This window comes from Homo sapiens, chromosome 9, assembly GCF_000001405.40.
Source record: "Homo sapiens chromosome 9, GRCh38.p14 Primary Assembly".
NCBI classification, from domain to species: Eukaryota; Metazoa; Chordata; class Mammalia; order Primates; family Hominidae; genus Homo; species Homo sapiens.
Window position 1 is genome coordinate 128,394,109 of NC_000009.12, and position 15,843 is coordinate 128,409,951.

At 52.4% G+C, this 15,843-nt stretch overlaps 1 annotated feature.

Moving 5' to 3' along the window:
* Window positions 10,649-11,449: an enhancer, noted in NCBI's record as "H3K4me1 hESC enhancer chr9:131167036-131167836 (GRCh37/hg19 assembly coordinates)". NCBI's record gives its function as "activates a minimal SCP1, AML or CMV promoter by ChIP-STARR-seq in naive H9 embryonic stem cells {active_cell/tissue: H9 hESC(naive)}" and the evidence as "EXISTENCE:reporter gene assay evidence [ECO:0000049][PMID:30033119]".

A 15,843-nucleotide genomic window follows, 5' to 3' on the forward strand; every position in this document is an offset into this window, starting at 1 on the left:
GAGCAGGTGGGTGTGAGAGGGGCGTGGAATCTGTGAATGCTTGTCTTGTCATTGTCTCTTCCATTGGACAGTCCACCCATCCAGGAGAGCAGGGGCTCTGTCCAAGGTCTAATGCGCCCCCAGCCCCACCCCCAGCCTGGTCTGGCAGAGACGGTTCTCAGTCTATTGGGTAAATACATAGCCAGCTTCTCACCCCCAAAGCCCAGCCTGTCTTTCCCAATGAACCTCACACCCTAAAGTGGGAGTGTGTGGCCATTTTTCCCATACAGCCTGCCTTCCATTCACCCCAGAGTTCTCCAAGCACCCAGAATACCCCTGCCTCTGTCCTGGCACACCAAGCTGCCTTGCTCTGAAATGCTCTCCTGTCCTCACAATCTCTGGGTGGCCTTGCCACGTGCCCGGCTGAATTGTGAATATCGGTTTGTCTGAGTCTCCTCCCTAGGACAGGAAACGGGTCCTACGGATCTTTGTGCCTCCAGGGCCTAGTACAGTGCCCTCCCCCCAACCAATCATTAAATATCTGTGGGTGGTTGCACGCATGCCCGGTGACTTTAAAATGAGCCACATAGACTTCTTGGAGTTTCTTATAAAAGTTGAAAGAATGTTGCTTGTGGGAGGTAATTCTTGCAGCCCGGGTTTTACAGGGAGGGAGTCCTGCTAACCAGATCCCAACTCCTGGGAATGCTCCATTTGGTAATAATAACAGCAAAGAGTGTATTGTGTGCCAAGCACTAAGCTCTTTGAAGGTAGTAGCTCACTGATTCCTCACAACAACCCTGGAAAGTAAGTGCTGTTATCAGCCCCATTTTACAGATGAAGAAACTGCAGAGCCCTCCTTCCTTAGGCTCCTCCCTGGAGCTTCCAGCTGGAGAGGGAGGGGGAGCATTCTGGAGGTCACAGGGTCACTCCCTGAGAAGACCATGCTGGAGGATAAGACAGAAGGCATGCAGCCCCAATCCCCAACCTCCAGAGACCGCACCCACTAGGGATCTAGAAACCCAGAGCTTTAGGACTTGCTGCACACTCTAGTTTCCAAGCCTTTATTTAGTGGGTACAGAGGGGATGGATGTAAATGCACTTAAAACGGCTAGACCCAGGAGACACTCTGTGTCACCTTATATTAATACATTATAATCCAGTCCCAGCCCACCCCAGCCTGGCATGAACACAACCAAGATGGACTGGGCAACAATAGTCTCTGATTACCAGGTGCCATGGCTGGTGTCCATAATCCCAACACTTTGGGAGGCCGAGGCTGGAGGCCAAGGCAGGAAGATTGCTTGAAGCCTGAAGTTAAATACCAGCCTGTGACAGGTGAGGTGACTCATGCCTGTAATCTCAGCACTTTGGGAGGCCGAGGCGGGCGGATCACTTGAGCCCAGGAGTTCAAGACCAGCCTGGGCACATGGCAAAACCCCATCTCTACTAAAAACACAAAGATAAGCCGTGTGTGGCGGCAAGCGCCTGTAATCCCAGCTACACAGAAGGCTGAGATATGAGAATCACTTAACCTGGCAGGTGGAGGTTGCAGTGAGCCTAGATCGTGCCACTGCACTCCAGCCTGGGCAACAGAGAGACTTGGTCTCAAAAAAAAAAAAAAAAAAAAAAAAAAAAAACCAGCCTGGGTAAAAAAGTGAGACCCCCATCTCTACAAAAATAAAAATAAACTATTTATTTATTTATTTTAAGAGGGAGTCTCGCTCTGTCGCCCAGGCTGGAGTGCAGTGGCACAATCTCGGCTCACTGCAATCTCCACCAACTGCGTTCAAGCAATTCTCCTGCCTCAGCCTCCAGAGTAGCTGAGATTACAGGTGCCCGCCACCATGCCTGGCTAATTTTTGTATTTTAGTACAGATAGGTTTTCACCATGTTGGTCAGGCTGGTCTCAAACTCCCGACCTCAAATGATCCGCCCTCCTCAGCTTCCCAAAGTGCCAGGATTACAGGCCTGAGCCACCACACCTGGCCAAAATAAAGATTTTTAAATAAAAATTTAAAAAAGAGTTGGGGGCTGGCCGGGTGCAGTGGTTCACACCTGTAATCCCAGCACTTTGGGAGGCCAAGGTGGGCGGATCACGAGGTCAGGAGATCGAGACCATCCTGACTAACACAGTGAAACCCCGTCTCTACTAAAAATACAAAAAATTAGCCGGGCGTGGTGGTGGGCGCCTGTAGTCCCAGCTACTCCTCGGGAGGCCGAGGCAGGAGAATGGCATGAACCCGGGAGGCGAAGCTTGCAGTGAGCCGAGATCGTGCCACTGCACTCCAGCCTGGGCGACGGAGCGAGACTCCGTCTCAAAAAAAAAAAAAAAGAGAGTTGGGGGCTCCCAAGCTAGGTCCTAGCTGCCTTCTAGGAGAAGGGCTTTTCTGTCCCCAGGGTACATTAGAGCCAATTTCTTTTTTTTCTTTGAGATGGAATCTCGCTCTGTCCCCCAGGCTGGAGTGCAGTGGCGCGATCTCGGCTCATTGCAAGCTCCCCCTCCCAGGTTCATGCCATTCTCCTGCCTCGGCCTCCCGAGTAGCTGGGACTACAAGCGCCCACCACCACGCCTGGCTAATTTTTTGTATTTTTAGTAGAGGCGGGGTTTCACCGTGTTAGCCAGGATGGTTTCGATCTCCTGACCTCATGATCCGCCCGTCTCGGCCTCCCAAAGTGCTGGGATTACAGGTGTGAGCCACCGCACCCGGCCAGACAGCCAATTTTTTTTTTTTTTTGAAACGGGTATCTCCCTATGTTGCCCAGGCTGGTTCTCGAAATCCTGGGCTCAAGGGATCCTTTCACCTCAGCCTCCCGAGTAGCTGAAATTTGACAGGAATGTTCCACCATGCCCAACTGAGGTATTTAAAGCCCATCAGTACTGGGCAGAGAAGTGAGTTGCCCTCACCCGCACCCTCAGGGAAATGAGGAGCCAAGAAGGCTGCTAACTGCAGCCACTGAACAGATATTGATGGAATGCCTACTGTGTGCTCGCCCAGGACTCGGCAGAGGACAGATGTCCCCAGAGGAGACGCACAGTGTGGGACAGAGGCAGATCCTGGGGGAGGAGGAGTGGGGAGTTAGGTGAAGGCGGGCACTGTCCCAGGCGGAGGGAACAGCGTGCTCTAAAGAAGTACTTGGCGAGCTCAGAGAAGGAAGGAAATTTGGTGTGGCTGGAGCGCAGTGAGGAAGGGGAAGTTCCACATAAAGCTGAGGTCGACCTTGCCAGGCTCTTAGGCTATTGGGAGGATTTGCGATTATATCCTAAACGCGGTGGGGATCCTGAAAGGTCTGACAAGTTCAGATTTACATTTTTAAAGGTTTGCTGGGACTGAAGTGTGGAGAATAGGGGGAGGGGGGATGGGGGGATAGGGCAAGTTTGATGACCAGAGACCAGTTAGGCTACTGAGCCAGGTGAGGGCCAGCGGTGGCAGAGCAGGCTCTGGAGCCGTGTTCTTGACGGTCTATCTGAGTGATTCTCCATGAGCAACGCTTAGTGGACCGATGTTTGCAAAGCACTGTGTGTGCGCTGAAGGTAGGGGAAGGGAGAAAGGCAAATAGTGTCATTGCCCCCCGGAAGTACCCGGTATCCAAGTGGACCAACAGACACAAATACCCAGCCAACTCTAATGAAAGCAGAGCCCCGGGAAAGCACGGTAGCTGAAGAATTAGCAAGGTTCTGGGGATTATAGAAGACAGAGATTCATTCCAACAGGGAAGCTGTGGGAAGACTTCAGGAAGAGCCAGCATTGCCTTGGGCTTCCAGGACAAGTGATTCCAGGAGGCTGAATCTTAGTGACAGCCTCTGTGCCTATCCATCGTGCCTGTCCTGCCTCTCTAGAAATGGGTGGGTGTTAGGAGGATCCAAACACCCTCTGCATGTGCTTGCAGTTAAGTAATGTGTCATCATGAGCTTCCACCATCACCACCATACACCCCGGGTGTGCATGCGCACACACACACAGCACACACACACAACCAACTCTCAGGAAGATGGCAGAGTCAGCAGGATGCAGTGGCTCACACCTGTAATCCCAGCAGTTTGGGAGGCTGAGACGGGCGGATCACCTGAGGTCAGGAGTTTGAGACCAGCCTGGCCAACATGGTGAAACCCCGTTTCTACTAAAAATACTATAATTAGTCGAGCGTGGTGGCAGGTGCCTGTAATTCCAGCTACTCAGGAGGCTGAGGCAGAATTGTTTGAACCCAGGAGGCGGAGGTTGCAGTGAGCTGAGATCCCACCAGTGCACTCTGGCCTGGGTGACAGAGTGAGACCTTGTCTCAACAAAAAAATTAAAAAAGAAGACCAGGCGCTGTGGCTCACGCCTGTAATCCCAGCACTTTGGGAGGCCGAGATGGGTGGATCACAAGGTCAGGAGATCGAGACCATCCTGGCTAACACGGTGAAACCTCATCTCTACTAAAAATACAAAAAAATTAGCCGGGCGTGGTGGCGAGTGCCTGTAGTCCCAGCTACTCGGGAGGGTGAGACAGGAGAATGGCGTGAACCCGGGAGACGGAGCTTGCAGTGAGCCGAGGTCACGCCACTGCACTCCAGCCTGGGCAACAGAGCAAGACTCCGTCTCAAAAAAAAAAAAATTAAAAAAGAAGACGGCAGAGTTGTCCACACTGCCAGTTAAGCAAGCCCTTCCTTCCCACCAGGACTGGCTTTTTTTTTTTTTTTTTTTGAGACGGAGTCTCGGTCTGTCATCCAGGCTGGAGTGCAGTGGCGTGATATCGGCTCACTGCAACCTCCACTTCCCGGGTTCAAGCAATTCTCCTGCATCAGCCTCCCAAGTAGCTGGGACTACAGGCACGTGCCACCACACTCAGCTAAATTTTGTATTTTTAGTAGAGGTGGGTTGAGACCAGGATGGTCTCAATCTCTTGACCTCATGATCCACCCGCCTCAGCCTCCCAAAGTGCTGGGATTACAGGCGTGAGCCACCGCACCCGGCTTTTTTTTTTTTTTTTTGAAGTGGAGTCTCACTCTGTCACGCAGTCTGGAGTGCAGTGGCACAATCTCCATTCACTGCAACCCCTGCCTCCCAGATTCAAGCAATTCTCATGCCTCAGCCTCTCAAGTAGCTGGGACTATAGGTGTGTGCCACCATGCCCAGCTAATTTTTGTATTTTTAGTAGAGATGGGGTTTCACTGTGTTGGCCTCAAACTCCTGACCTCAAGTGATCCGCCCACCTCAGCCTCCCAAAGTGCTGGGATTACAGGCATGAGCCATCGCACCTGGCCTGGCCTGGCCTGGCATTTTACCAAGGATTTTTTTTTTTTTTTTTTTTTTTTTGGTTATGGAGTCCTGCTCTGTCACCCAGGCTGAAGTGCAGTGGCGCAATCTCGGCTCAGTGCAACCTCCACCTCCCAGGTTCAAGCAATTCTCCCTGCCTCAGCCTCCCACTTAGCTGGGACTACAGGTGCCCACCACCACGCCTGGCTAATTTTTGTATTTTTAGTAGAGTCAGGGTTTTGCCATGCTGGCCAGGCTGGTCTCGAACTCCTGACCTCAGGTGATCCTTCTCGGCCTCCCAAAGTACTGAGATTACAGGCGTGAGCCACCGCACCAGGCCTTTACCAAGGATTTGACCAAACATTGTGCTCAGCACAAAGGACATGCTCAGTAAACATCTGTTGAATGAATGATGAATGAATGAATGAATTGATGAATGCTTTATTGAAGTAATAATTAAATGAATGGTAGATGGAGACGGATGCATGAAAAAGCAGACTTTGGGACAATGGAGTGAAAGATGAAATTAATAAGGAATTGACAGTGGGTGCACGGATGTTTGCAGCCAATCAGCTGAGGTTCTAGGTGTGGCACTTGAGATATTGCTGTGGGTGAGGCTCATTGAAGGGGGCTGGGAGGGGCTTCTGTCATGCAGCAGCCTCAGTTCTGCACTTTAAGGCAAGTCCAGGACCCAGAGCATGCAGACAGATGCCCAGGGAACAGCTGTGGCGACAGGCTCCACCTCTGTGCCAGATCTTTCCATCCCTAGATTCCTGTCCCCAAGTGTTTCTGTCAATCCGGGTTTCACTGTGATTTGGCCTGGCAGCCTGGGATAGAGGAAAGAACCCTATTGCTATTCAGTGTGCCTCCATAGGCCAGGCCCTTGCCCACTCTGGGCTTCAGTAGCCAGAACCATTTATACAAAGAGAATTCTCTAAGACTGGCCGGCACTCTTACATGGTGACTGGCCAGGTGTCCTACCTCTAGAAATGAACTGACAACCTGACTCACTCCAGTCTCAGAAGATGCCAGAGCCAGGCCACCTGTCCCCACTCAGAGGGGATCCTAAGAACCCCTCCACCCTGCCTAGCATTTTTCGGCTTACAGAAGATGTTCCTCTCTATGAAGTGAGTGAAGGCAGGGCAGGGAAGCCTTCCAGGTTAAAACATGCACCTGCCCGGCACGCTTCAGCCCATCGTGCTGTGTTGATGTCTTCCTTGACTGGATCACTCCCTGAAAGTGTCATATTTACCAGCTGTCTTGTTTGTCACCTACTAGAACAGAAGCTGTATGAGGGATCACGTCCTGTTCATTACTAAATCCCCAGCACCTAGAACAACGCCTGCCCCTTGGAAGGTGCTAAGTTTTTTTGTTTTGTTTTGTTTTGTTTTAGATGAAGTTTCACTCTTGTCACCCAGGCTGGAGTGCAATGGCGCGATCTCGGCTCACTGCAGCCTCCGCCTCCCGGGTTCAAGCAGTTATCCTGCCTCAGCCTCCCGAGTAGCTGGGACTACAGTGGCCTGCCACCACACCCGTCTAATTTTTGTATTTTTAGTAGTGACAGGGTTTCACCATGTTGGCCAGGCTGGTCTCAAACTCCTGACCTCAGGTGATCCGCCCACCTCAGCCTCCCAAAGTGCTGGGATTACAGGCGTGAGCCACCGCGCCCGGCTGGAAGGTGCTAAATTTTTGTTTTTCTTTCTTTTTTCCTTTTCTTTTTTTTGAGACGGAGTCTCACTCTGTCACCCAGGCTGGAGTGCAGTGGCGCGATCTCGGCTCACTGCAAGCTCCGCCTCCTGGGTTCACGCCATTCTCCTGCCTCAGCCTCCCGAGTAGCCGGGACAACAGGCGCCCACCACCACACGTGGCTAACTTTTTGTACTTTTAATAGAGATGGGGTTTCACCGTGTTAGCCAGGATGATCTCGATCTCCTAACCTCATGATCCACCCGCCTCGGCCTCCCAAAGTGCTGGGATTACAGGCGTGAGCCACCACGCCCGGCCGGAAGGTGCTGTTTTATTAAATACCTGGGTCAAGGAATAAATAGATACATGGACCATTGTAATCTGGACCATTGTAATCTAGTTAGCAACAACTACCATATATTAAGCACTGAGCACTGGGCTAAGCGCTTGACATGCATCACTACAGCCCTTCAGAGAAATTCTATCACTCTCCGCATTTTACCCACTAGGAACCTGAGGCCAAGAGAGAGCAAGCAACTTCCCCCAGGTACAGAGCTCCTGAATGACAGAGATAGGTTTTATTGATTTCAATTAATCTTTTTTTTTTTTTTTTTGAGACAGAATTTCGCTCTTGTTGCCCAGGCTAGAGTGCAGTGGTGTGATCTCGGCTCACTGCAACCTCTGCCTCCTGGGTGCCTCATCCTCCCAAGTAGCTGGGATTACAGGCATGTGCCACCACGCCTAGCTAATTTTGTATTTTTAGTAGAGACAGGGTTTCACTGTGTTGGTCAGGCTAGTCTTGAACTCCTGACCTCAGGTGATCCACCCGCCTCAGCCTTTCAAAGTGCTGGGATTACAGGCATGAGCCACCGCACCCAGTGTCAATTAATTATTATTATTTTTAATAGAGATGGGGTCCCAGGCCGGGCACGGTGGCTTGTGCCTGTAATCCCATCACTTTGGGAGGCCGAGGCAGGTGGATTGCTTGAGCTCAGGAGTTCAAGACCAGTGTGGCCAACATGGTGAAACCCCGTTTCTACCAAAAAATAAAAAAAATAACTGGGTGTGTTGGTGGGCACCCGTAATCCCAGCTACTCTGGAGGCTGAGGTGGGAGAATTGCTTGAACCCAGGAAGTGGAGGTTGCAATGAGTGTAGATCTCGTCACTGCATTGCAGCCTGGGCATCAGAGTGAGACTCTGTCTAAAAAGAAAGAAAGAGAGATCCTTCCTGGCTAACACGATGAAACCCTGTCTCTACTAAAAATACAAAAAAATTAGCCAGGCGTGGTGGAGGGCGCCTGTAGTCCCAGCTACTCTGGAGGCTGAGGCAGAAGAATGGCATGAACCTGGGAGGCGGAGCTTGTAGTGAGCCGAGATCGCACCACTGGACTCTAGCCTGGGCGACAGAGCGAGACTCCGTCTCAAAAAAAATAATAAAAAAGAGAGATGAGGTCTTGCTATGTTGCCTAGACTGGTCCTAAACTCCTAGGCTCAAGTGATCTTCCCACCTCTGCTTCCCAAAGTGTTGGTATTATAGTTGTGAGCCACCACGCCCTGCCAAGAGCTAGAGTTTTGGTTTTTTTTTTTTTTTTTTTTGAGATGGAGTTTCGCTCTTGTTGCCCAGGCTGGAGTGCAATGGCATGATCTTGGCTCACTGCAACCTCCACCTCCCAGGTTCAAGCTATTCTCCTGCCTCAACCTCCCAAGTAGCTGGGATTACAGCCATGTGCCATCACGCCCAACTAATTTTGTATTTTTAGTAGAGACGAGGTTTCTCCATGTTGGTCAGACTGGTCTTGAACTCCTGATCTCAGGTGATCTGCCCACCTCAGCCTCCCAAAGTGCTGGGATTACAGGCATGAGCCACCACACCCGGCCCTAGGTTTGTTTTAGACCTAAGTCTGCGTATCTGCAAAGACCACATTCTTCAATACTTCACCACCTCACTCCTCTTACTCTATTGCCCCAGTACCCAGTGAAGTAGGAACCATTGGAAGTTAAGGAGTTGGGACTCACGAGAGTTCAAGACCATCCTGGACAACATAGTGGGAACCCATCTCTGCAAAAAAAAAAAATTAGCTGGGCATGGTGATGGGTGCCTGTAGTCCCAGCTGCTTGGGAGGCTGAGGCAGAAGGATCACTTGAGTCTAGGAGGTTGAGGCTGCAGTGAGCCATGAGTGTGCCACTGCACTCCAGCCTGGGTGACAGAGAGAAACCATGTCTAAAAAATAATAATAATTGGGACTTAGACATACTGTATAATTCCATTTACATGAAATATCCAGAATAGGCAAATCTATTGAGACAGAAAGCAGATTAGTGGTTGCCTAGGGCTGGGGAGAAGGGCAGTTGGGGAGAAATGGGGAATGATGGCTAATGAGTATGGGCTTTCTTTCTTTCTTTCTTTTTTTGAGATGGAGTCTCACTCTGTCATGCAGGCTGGAGTGCAGTGGTGCGATCTCAGCTCACTGCAACCTCCGTCTCCTGGGTTCAAGCAATTCTCCTTGCCTCAACCTCCCGAGTAGCTGGGATTACAAGTGCCCACCACCACGCCCTGCTAATTTTTGTATTTTTCTAGTAGAGATGTAGTTTCACCATGTTGCCCAGGCTGATCTTGAACTCTTGACCTCAGGTGATCAGCCCACCTTGACCTCCCAAAGTGCTGGGATTACAGGTGTGAGCCACCACGCCCAGCCTGAGTATGGGCTTTCTTTTCAAAATAATGAAAATATAAAATGGCTTGTTGTGATGGTTGCACAATTCTTGAATATACTAAAAGCTGTTGAATGATACACTTTAAGTAGGCAAATTGCATGGCATGTGAATTACATCTCAACAATGCTGTTATGAAAAAAAAAGAGGCCGGGCACAGTGGCTCACACCTGTAATCCTAGCACTGGCCGAAGCGGCTCACACCTGTAATCCCAGCACTGGCCGAAGCGGGTGGATCATGAGGTCAGGAGATCGACACCATCCTGGCTAACACGGTGAAATCCCATCTCTACTAAAAATACAAACAATTAGCTGGGCATGGTGGTGGGCACCTGTAGTCCCAGCTACTCCGGAGGCTGAGGCAGGAGAATGGCGTGAACCCGGGAGGCGGAGGTTGCAATGAGCCAAGATCCCGCCACTCTGCCACTGCACTCCAGCCTGGGTGACAGAGCAAGACTCCATCTCAAAAAAAAAAAAAAAAAGATAAAAAGAGAGGGATGGGGCTCAGGAATCCCACCTCTGCCACTTACCTGCTTGGCACATGACTTCATACCTCCCAACCTCAGCTTCCTTAACCAATAAAATAGGAAAAATAAACATCTCCTGGGTCTTTTGTGAGGATTAAATGAGATAATACATATTATTATTCCCATTTTATCAAGGAGGAAACAGGCCCAGAGAAGGGAAGTGACTTGGGTGCAGATGGCACAGCTGGTGGGTGGCAGGTGAGAGACTCAGGCCTGGGTCTCATGGCACCACCCCATCTTTTAGCATTGTGTAGAGTGGACCAGTGTCTGCACACTCCACCCACCCCTTCACCAACACTCTCTTCCATCTCCCTCCTTCTCTTGGGCTCTGGGGCCCTGTCTCCCCACTGCTCACGCTCAGAACAAGTGGAGGTGGCTGAGTCCCCCCAGAGCACAGGACACCCTCTCCCCCAGCCCCCACCCTGCTCCCCTCCTGGGGCCATGATGCTGTCTTGCTTTTGCTTGTAATAAAGAAAATATCTCAGCTACCCTTCCATGGTTGCTTGGCAACCCCGAGGGGGGTTGGGTGGGGGGGACCAAGGGGAGGAGGGATGGGGGAGGATTCTGGAGCCAATCTGGAGACAAAGAGTAGGATTTGGGTGACATGGAGCCTGTTCTTAGTGCTAACCTGGCCTGGCTGGGGCGGCGGGTGGGGGCAGCGGGCTTCCTCCCACCCCAGTGTCTCACACCAATAAATATGGATTAGGGAAATGGGCTGAGTTTTTCCCACGGGCCTGAAAGGCCGCATCTGACCTTTCTACCCCCTTTATGTACCAATGTGACAGTCAGAGACAGCAAAGAGCAGGACCCCCTGAGATGCCTCCCCCATGGCCTTCTGACTTGGGGAAACTTTTCACCCTCCTCCTTCCCCTGGCCACAGACCAGGTCACAGCTCTGCCTGGGCCCTTGTTCCGGGGATGAGAAGGAGGCTGGTTTCCAGGTGGGCGCCAGGAGCTCCCATCCTCAGTGTCCACTCCGGGCCCTGCTGGCCGTGACCGGTGCAGAGCCAGGCTGTGAGGCCCTGGACTGGTTAGTGACGGCCCTGCCTGCCTCCTAGACAGTCCTCTGCTCTGTGGCTCCCCCATCCTGTCCCTGCCCCATCTCTGCCTGGGCCGCCTCCATCAGGAGCCCTATCGTCCGTGTCCCTTTGCGTCCCTCTCCTCAGATACTTCCCACCACCCTCTTCTCGACTTGGTTTCCCTCTTTCTCTCCTCCTGCCAGCCCCCCACGCCCCAGTCGTCCATGAAACTAGGAAGCCCTTGTGGCTGAGGTATCTCCTGCAGTGAAGAGGGCAGGAAGGGTTGTGGAGGGGGAGGTGGGGGCCGTGATCTCACTCCCTGGTGCCCTGACTTTCTGGTCGTTGGCCGGGGGTGGGGATCGGCTGCTCTGAATGGAGTCAGTGTAGAGGCAGGAAAAGCAAACACCTCCGTGTGGGCCCTGCTGGCAGTGGATGGGAGCGGTCGGGGGGCAGGGGCCTGGGCTCCTCTCAGCCTCCTTGATCAGACCTCTCCCCACTCCTGAGGCTCCCTGTCTTCCTGGACCTTTGGCCTACAGTGTCCAGAAGGAGAGTGGGGTGAAGGTTTAGGGGGAAGCCCTCTGGGAGACGTCTTTGCTCAAATCTTTCCCTGCTCCTCTGCCCAACCCCCAGCCAGTGCCCTTCCTGCCCAGCAGATGCCAGGAAAATCTGTGCCCGGGAAGGGCGGTCTGGCACCTGAGGGCCCCGCCTGACCAGTCCTTCTCAGCAGCAGGAGCTGGGTGGGAGTCACCTTATGCCAGAGACGCCCCAGCAGTGCCATCCACCTCCTGGGCTGAGGAGTACCCCCAAGAGGCTCTGCCCGGGTGAGTGCTCCTCTGGCCCCACAGCCAGGCAGTGAGGGAGGGAGAGGTTGTCCATGTCGGGGCTCCCCAAGACCCCCACAATCTCCGTGAGTCCTCATGGTTCTGTGGCCTTTTCTGTTGTGACTGTCTCACCCTCTGTCTGGGACTCGTGTGTCACTGATGGTTTGGTGAGGGGAGCTGAAGGGATGGTTAGAGAAGCTGGAGGAGAGGGCTGGGAATGTGAGGAGGTAGGAGGGGCTGGAGTCTAGGGTATAGGACTCCTGGATTCCCAGCCAGGTTTTTGTGTTTTATTTTTATTTGTATGATTTTTAAATTTCTGTTTTAAAAGATGAGGTCTCTCTTGCATGGAATATATCTTTATATTAAAAAAAAAAAAAAAAAGATAAGGTCTCACTATGTTGCCCAGGCTGGTCTTGAACTCCTGGGCTCAAGCAATCCTCCCACCTCAGCCTCCCTAAATGCTGTGATTACAGGCCTGAGCTACCGCACCCAGCCTAGCCAACTTTCTGATTAGATTTGTGAAATCACAGAGGCTGCTGTAATGGTTTCCTTTTAACACTTTGGATTCTAAAAGACCTTTGGAATGAGCTCAGAGAGAGTTAGCAGTTCATCCCGGGTGACACAGCAAACTGCTGGTACTCAAACCCACCAGGCCCCCTCATCACACCGCAGGCTGTTTGTGTTATGGAAGCCATCTTTGACCACCTCTCTCTTTCCCTCTCCACATGCAGTTTCCCCCTGAATTTAAGAGGCTGAGGGGTGGAGGGAGCCGACTCTGCCTAGCACCTCCAGGCCTTTCCTTTCTGTTGTCTCTCCAGGCACCATGCCCAGGGCCCAGCCTAGTAGCAGGAGCAGCCCCTGCCTGGGCCTCAGAGCGCCACAATCTCCTCTGACTATCCCTGGGAAGCCGTGGTTGGCTTTTGCCTTACATCCCCCAGAGAATGGCGTCTTTGTTCTTGGTGTCTAACCATAGTCCCTCATGTTGTCTTTAAAGCCCAACCACTTCCCAAAAAGCAAGGTCAACAGCTGACTGCATACCACAGCACCCCAGTGGTTCCTGCTTTGAGGTGGGACCTGGCTGGGGGGACCCTGCCGAGTAGAAACAGGCATTCCTCACTGGGTCAGGCTCTGTTCTGAGGTCGTCCACGTACCTTGCTGAATGGTGGTCACCACATTCCTGCAGTGTGGAGTCAGTTTTACAGATTGGAAAACTGAGACACGGAGCATTGAAGTGACTCATCTGTGGACACACTGCGAGAAAAAGAGCTGGGATTCAAGCCCATAGCTTGGCTGCAGAGCCCAATCCCTTAAACGTTCTTCCATAGTGCCTCTGATTCCTAGGAGGCCTCCGCTGGAGGTCATTGCATTCAATCCCCTGCATCTGGATGTCTACCCAGGCCCACCTCTGTTCACAGATAAAAATCAATCAAGCTTTTTTTTAAATAAACTTTATTTTTATTTTTTGAGACACAGTCTCACCCTGTCGCCCAGGCTGGAGTGAATGGCCACCATGCTTGGCTGATTTTTGTATTTTTTGTAGAGATGGAGTTTTGCCATGTTGCCCAGGCTGGTCTTGAGCTCCTGGGCTTAAGTGATCCACCTGCCTCAGCCTCCCAAAGTGCTGGGATTACAGGCGGGAGCCTCCCAAAGTGCTTGTCCAACCTCGTTTTTAAAGGCAACTGCAGCTGGGCACAGTGGTTCACGCCTGTAATCCCAGCACTTTGGGAGGCCAAGGAGGGCTGATCACAAGGTCAGGAGTTGAGAGACCAGCCTGGCCAATATGGTGAAACTCCATCTCTACTAAAAATACAAAAATTAGCCAGGCGTAGTGGCGGGTGCCTGTAGTCCCAGCTACTCGGGAGGCTGAGGCAGGAGAATCGCTTGAACCCGGGAGGTGGAGGTTGCAGTGAGCCAAGTTCGCGCCACTGCACTCCAGCCTGGGTGACAGAGCGAGATTCTGTCTCAAAAAATAAATAAATAAATAAATAAATAAATAAATAAATAAAGGCACCTGCTCCAAGGATGGAATTTCCCCTGGGGATAAGCAGACATTTCTTTATTCATAGCCTTCTGGCAGGGAGGGAAGACCCTCCCAGCCAGAACTCACCATGTCCAGCTGCCTCGTTGTTCCTCTCTCCTTCCCACTGGAGTATAATTTCAGGAAGGAAGCGGCTCCGCCTTGAGTATTGGCTCCACAACCTCCAGGCTGTGTGGCGTTGGACAAATGACTGAACTTCTCTGAGCCTTAGCTTATCAAGTGTAAAGTGGAGCTAATTATACATCTGCTTTGTGAGTCTGAAAAAGTTTACATGATAAAAGGGTATGAAGGTCTGAAAGGGCTTAGTGAGCACAGTGCCTGGCACCTCTGAAGTGCACAGGACCAAGTGGCAAATACTTCTCACTGCATCCTGAGGGGTCGTTCCCAGACCCTGAGATCCCACCCAGCCACAGCCAAGTCACCTTCTGGGTTGTCTTACTTAGCCATGGGATTGTCCCTGTTCCCCTGTCCCCTCCCTAGTCCGGGTTCTGGCCTCAAGAAAGAAGGCCCTAGGGGTAAAGGAGTTGGAGGAGGGGGGCTTGGCAGCACCACCATCACCACTGTCATCATCCTCATTGAAACTCTTCTACCTGCAAGATCAGAGCCTCGTGCTTTTGGCCTTATAGTTTAGCCTTCTTACTACAGATAGGGAAACTGAGGCCCACAGTGGGGAAGGACTTGCTCAGGGTCACGTAGCAAATTGGTGGTGGAGCAGGAACTAGCTCTCAGTCCTCCACATTCCCGGTTGGTTTCCCCTGTCTCTTCTTGATGACTGCCCACCTCAAGTCCTCCCCTGGTGTGCCTAGGGTGTGGGGCCTGGCACCCAGTCCTGCCTGGCAGAGCCTGGAGAGAAGTGAGCCGCGGTTGGTGGAGTAGTCGCAGCGGCCCGGCGCGTTCTCAGCCCGGCTCTTTGTCTGCTGCTTTGTGATGGTAAGTGCTGCTCCTAAATCAGTTCTGTGACACTGTTATTGTTGCCCAGGGCGCAAAGAGTCTAAACTTTTCCCCTGAGGTCAAGAATGTGGCTGGTCCCCAAGCCGCCCAGAGCAGAGGCCTGGGTGGCTGGGGGTGGGGATGGGGCCTCGCCCCGAGCTGGGGCGAGATGTTGGGGGGAGGGGGTCAGCGGGAACAAAACGCTTTGAAATGCCTCCTCTCCATCACTGCCAACATTGTCCGCTGCCCGCGGGGGGCCTGGCACCGCCTCGCCGGGGCTCCGGCCCCCAGCCCTGGCCAGGCGCGGCCCGACATCTGAAAATGGACAGAAGGTTATTGTCCCTTCCCGCAGCCCTTTGTCTGCCCCAGTTCCAGATGTCTAGGCTGGGACCAGGGAACTGACCCATGGTGGGCAGGGGGGAGAGGACAAAAAGGGAGAGCACGGGTCACTGCATCCTGAGGGGTCGTTCCCAGACCCTGAGATCCCACCCAGCCACAGCCAAGTCACCTTCTGGGTTGTCTTAGCCCTGAGATTGTCCCTGTTCCCCTGTCCCCTCCCTACTCCAGGTTCTGGCCTCGAGAGAGAAGGCCCTAGGGGTACAGGAGTCAGAGCAGGGGACCTTGGCAGACTCACGGACGGGGCTGAATCCAGCTCCACCCGGTAACTGTGTGATCTTGGACAGGTGTGGCCCTCTCCCAGCCTGCTTTCCCCATGTGGGGACCACGGACCAGGTTCATTCACAGGTAATGATGGAGCCCTCCTACGTACCAGCTCTGAGCTGAGCATGGGGGCACGCGGTGGTGCATGGGCCACTTGGATCCTGCCCTTGACCATTGTGGTTAAATAGAAGAGTAACAGGCAGCATTTCCCACCCACTACCTCTGGGTCAGGTCC